Genomic DNA, 5,419 nt, shown 5'->3' on the forward strand with positions numbered 1-5,419 from the left:
TCTCAGGCTTCCAGCCTCCAGAATTGTGAGAAAATAAAGTTCTGTTGTTTGTCACCCCATCTGTGGTAGGTTGTTATGGCAGCCTGAGGAAACTAATACAGGTGTCCTAATGGAAAGGCCCATGCTCTCATAGCTGCTTGGCAGCCTCCAGGGTGAGTAAGATGTGGCTGGAACGCAAGCACGCATTGTCTGCAAGTCCTCAGCTGCTGAGGGAAGGCTGGACCTTGTGCTTGGCTGCAGGGTGTGGCCTCTGACACGGAAGCACTTTTCCAGCCCTGGGTGACTCTTGGAGTGAGTATTATCACAGACCATGTCTGCACAATTTACATCCACCAATGAATTAACTTCTATTTACAAGACTTGAAGAAATGCACCAAGGTCGGCTGAATGAAAACTCAACGTCAGTAGCATTTTGTAATTGATGATGATGATGATGAATTAATTTGTGTACAATGACTATCAATACCTATTATCAATATCCATTACTTTTTTGTTTGTTTATTTGTTTTTTTGGGTTTTCTTGTTTTGTTTTGTTTTTTTTTTTTTGCATGTCTGAACTCTCTATCTTGGTTGTAGCCTCATTGTGGACAAGGAGTACAATAACATACTCAATTTTGCATCCTTTGCTGTTAATTAAAAAAAAATCCTCATTCGATAATGAGAAGAAAAATTATCAGCAATTATCTTAACAAGCAGCTCCCCGGCTCTGGCATGAGCACAAGGTCATCTAATTGGTGCCCATTGGAGACGCTCCGTCAGACTCCCCGTTGACATACTGCCATCTGGTGGAGCTGGGCGGGCGGATCAGCTTTCACAGTCTGATGTTGCCTGTGTCTCGACATATGTTTGTTCCCGGTTCCTGCTGATTTTCCTGACAGCTGTCCAAATCCAGGGGCGAGCACCATGCAGGCCCAGGCCTTGGCAGAATACTGAAGGAGGCAAACATTTGCTTCGGTGTTCTGCTGCTTTCCCTATCAGCGATACTCACAGCCTGGTGTGCTTCCTCTTCTGGATGAAATCTTGAATTCTGTTCCACAAATTAACACCTCTTTCCCTGCCCCAAATTTATTTTATTTGCATAGACCTCACAGTTTATACATTGCTTCTGAAACTCCTCTCCCATTTGATAGTCAAACAACTTTTCGAGTGTGCTGGACTAGAATATTAACCTCCTTCAACAAAAATTTATTGAATATTGATTGTACTCAGACTGGGAACTACGGTTACAAAGACAGAAAGACCAGGGCCAACTTAATTCATGGTTACAGAAGGCCCAGTACCCGAAGCCCACAATATTTTTAGAATCCCATGAAGATGTTTTAATTTCTTTTAAAATATAAGAAAACATGAAATTTTAGGTGCAAGAAAAATGAGTATCTTTATGCCAATGCAAATTTTTAACACAATTTTAGTATTTTTAAATTATAACATTTAATATTTTTATGGAGGAAGAAGTCCATGAAGGCAAAATTCTCCAGGACCCACAAAAATTGTAACGCCGTCTTGGGAAAGGCAGGAATAAAATTAGATAATCATGCATATAAAAGCTGCTGCTGGCCAGGCATGGTGGCTCATGCCTGTAATCCGAGCACTTTGGGAGGCTGAGGCAGGCAGATTGCTTGGGTTCAGGAGCTCAAGACCAGCCTGGGCAACTTAGTGAAACCCTGTCTCTCTCTCCATATATATATAATTTTATATATAAATATAAATATATATGTTATATATATATGTCTGAATATTTAGCTAGGTGTGGTGGTGTGGGCCTGTAGTCCCAGCTACTTGGGAGGCTGAGGCAGGCAGATCGCTTGAGTCCAGAAGTTCAAGGCCAGCGTGGGCAATTTGGCAAAAACCCCATCTATATTTGTAGAGATATATATAAATATATATATATATATTTAGCCAGGTATGGTGGCATGGGCCTGTCATCCCAGCTACTTGGGAGGTTGAGGTGGGAGGATCTCTTGCGCCCAGGAGGTCAAGGCTGCAGAGAGCCACGATCCTGCCACTGAACTCCAGCCTGGACAACAGAGCAAGACTCCATATCAACAAACAAACAAACAAACAAACAAACAACAAACAGTAATGTGGGACCATGGAGTGGGAGGAGTTTTAGTTTGTCTCTAAGTAGAGTTGAAATATGTTTGATTGAACACATCAGGAAAGACAGAAAGTAATTGTGTTGGAGCTTAGGAAACTGCTGGAAGGGAACAGGAGCTATGGCCAGTCCTGGGGTTCAGAGGTGCTGGGAATATCTGGTAAATGGTTGTAAAGCCTGTCAGAGATTCATTCCTCCAGGGATAGTATGAAGGGAGTTAGAAGGAGTTTCCTGGAAGAGAAATTATCCTAAGGAAGAAGAAAACAGGCCAGGTGTAGTGTCTCACACCTGTAATCCCAGCATTTTGGGAGGCCAAGGTGGGTGGATCACTTGAGGCCAGGAGTTTGAGACCAGCCTGACCAATACTGTGAAATACCATCTATACTAAAAATACAAAAATTAGCCAGGAGTGGTGGTACACTCATGTAGTCCCAGCTACTCGGGAGGCTGAGGCACCAGAATCACTTGAACCCAGGAGGGGGAGGTTGCAGTGAGCCGAGATTGTGCCCCTGCACTCCAGCCTGGGTGACGGAGTGAGATCCCATCTCAAAAAAAAAAAAAAAAAAAAAAAAAGGCAAGAAAAGAAAAGAAAACAGCCACAGGCTTCACCCTATAAGAAAGCCCTACTCACCCTCCTAATGGGACAAGTAATGTACAGGATGCCTGTCACTTGAATTTATTGCCTGCCTAGTTCTATGAAGAGCCTTAAAGTACCCAGTTAAAGTGGACTTATTTGTGAGTACTTATGAGACCCTCTTTGAACTCTCAGAGGCACTTCCCACAGTGGGGACCTTGTCAGCAGGGCTGTCATCCTAGTGGTGCAAAGTGGCATCTCACTGTGGTTTTAATTCCCAAATGACTAATGATGTTGAGCATCTTTTCATGTGGCTACCTCTCATTTCTGTAACTTCTTTGAAGAAATGTCTATTTAGAATCTTTGCCTACTTTTTAATCTAATTATCTTTTTATTATTGAGTGGTAAGAGTTCTTTATATATTCTGGATACAAGTTCTTTACATTATTTGCAAATATTTTCTTTCAGTCTTTCGGTAAAAGCTTTTAATTTTGATGAAGTTCATTTTATTTTTTTTTCTTTTATTGCCCATGCTCATAGTCTCATAGCTAAGAATCTTTTGCCAAAGCCAAGGTATTATGGTTTGAATGTGTCCCCCAAAGTTCATGTGTGGAAACTTAATCCCCAATGCCACAGTTGAGAGGTGGGCTTTTTTTTTTTTTTTGAGATGGGGCCTAGTATAGGCATTTCAGCTTTCTTATGGTTGTTGTTTGCATGATATATCTCTTTTCTATTCTTTTACTTTTAATCTCTTCATCTCTTTGGAATTAAGGCATGGCTCCTGTAGACAGCATATAGTTGAATCATATTCATCTATCCAGTCTGAAAATCTCTATCTTTTTATTGATTTGTATTTATTTATTTATTTTAATTTTACTTTACGTTCTGGGATACATGTGCAGAACATGCAGGTTTTTACATAGGTATACATATGCCACAGTGGTTTGCTGCACCTATCAACCTGTCATCTAGGTTTTAAGCCCTGCATGCATTAGGTATTGTCCTAATGCTCTCCCTCCCCTGACCCCACCCCTGGACAGGCCCTGGTGTGTGATGTTCCATTCCCTGTGTCCATGTGTTCTCATTGTTCAGCTCCTATTTATGAGTGAGAACATGCAGTGTTTGGTTCTCTGTTCCTGTGTTAGTTTGCTGAGGATGATGGTTTCCAGCTTCATCCATGTGCCTGCAAAGGACATGAACTCATCCTTTTTTATGGCTGCATAGTATTCCATGGTGTATAATGGGATTGCTGGATCAAATGGTATTTCTGGTTCTAGATCCTTGAGGAATCACCACACTGTCTTCCACAATGGTTGAACTAATTTACACTCCCACCAACAGTGTAAAAGCATTCCTATTTCTCCACATCCTCTCCAGCATCTGTTATTTCCTGGCATTTTAATGATCACCATTCTAACTGGCGTGATATGGTATCTCATTTTGGTTTTGGTTTGCATTTCTCTAATGACCTATGATGATGAGCTTCTTTTCATATGTTTGTTGGTGAAAATCTCTATCTTTTGATTGGATTACTTAATCTATTGATACTTAATGTTATGATTAATATAGTTGGATTTATATTTGCCATTTACTTTTGTTTTCTATATATGTCATGCCTTCTTTCCCCTTTATTCTTACTTACTTTGTTCTTTCTCTTTTTACATTAAGTGAATATTTTCTAATGTATTCCCTAATGATTTATTTAGTAATTTTTTCACTTCATTTTAGGATATAGTAGTTCTCCTTTATCTGCAATTTCACTTTCCATGGTTTCAGTTACCTGCAGTCAACAATGGTCTGAAAATATTAAATGGAAAATTCTAGAAATAAACAATTCATAAGTTTTAAATTGTGTGTGGTTCTGAGTAGCATGGTGAAAACTCATACCATCCTGCTCCGTCCTGCCTGGAATGTGAATCATCCCTTTTTCCAGTGTATCCACATCGTATATGCTATCAGCCCATTAGTGTATAGGAAAAAACTTAGTGTATATAGGGTTCAGTAGTATTGTAGTGTCAAGTATTCACTGGGGGTCTTGGAACATATGCCCTGTGGCTGGGCGTGGTGGCTCACGCCTGTAATCCCAGCACTTTGGGAGGCCAAGGCGGGCAGATCACAGGTCAGGAGATCGAGACCAGCCTGGCCAATATGGTGAAACCCCATCTCTACTAAAAATACAAAAATTAGCTGGGCATGGTGGTGGGCGCCTGTAGTCCCAGCTACTTGGGAGGCTGAGGAAGGAGAATTGCTTGAACCTGGGAGGCAGAGGTTGCAGTGAGCCGAGATCACACCACTGCACTCCAGCCTGGGCAACAGAGCTAGTCTCAAAAAACAAAACAAACAAACAAAAAACAAAAAACATATGCCCTGTGGATAAGGGGGAACTACTCTATTTTTTAGTGGTTGCTCTAGGGTTTAGCATGTACATCTTAACTTATGCAGTGATATATACAATTCCAGTGATATATAGAAATGTGACTGCTATATATCTGTCCATTCCCTCTTTTTTTGTGTTATTATTGATATGCTTATTCTATCTATTAATGTTATAAATGTAGCAATACATTGTTATAATTATTACTTTACCATCTGTGGTCATTTTCTTAGTCTCATACAGTTTTGCTTCCTCCATCACCTTTGTGCTGTAGTTGACAGATATATTACACAGGTTAGGTTGGTGCAGAAGTAATTATGGTTTTTGCTATTAAAGGCAATGGCAAAAACCACAATTACTTTTGCACCAACCAATA

This window comes from Homo sapiens, chromosome 11 (genome assembly GCF_000001405.40).
Source record: "Homo sapiens chromosome 11, GRCh38.p14 Primary Assembly".
Taxonomy (NCBI): Eukaryota; Metazoa; Chordata; class Mammalia; order Primates; family Hominidae; genus Homo; species Homo sapiens.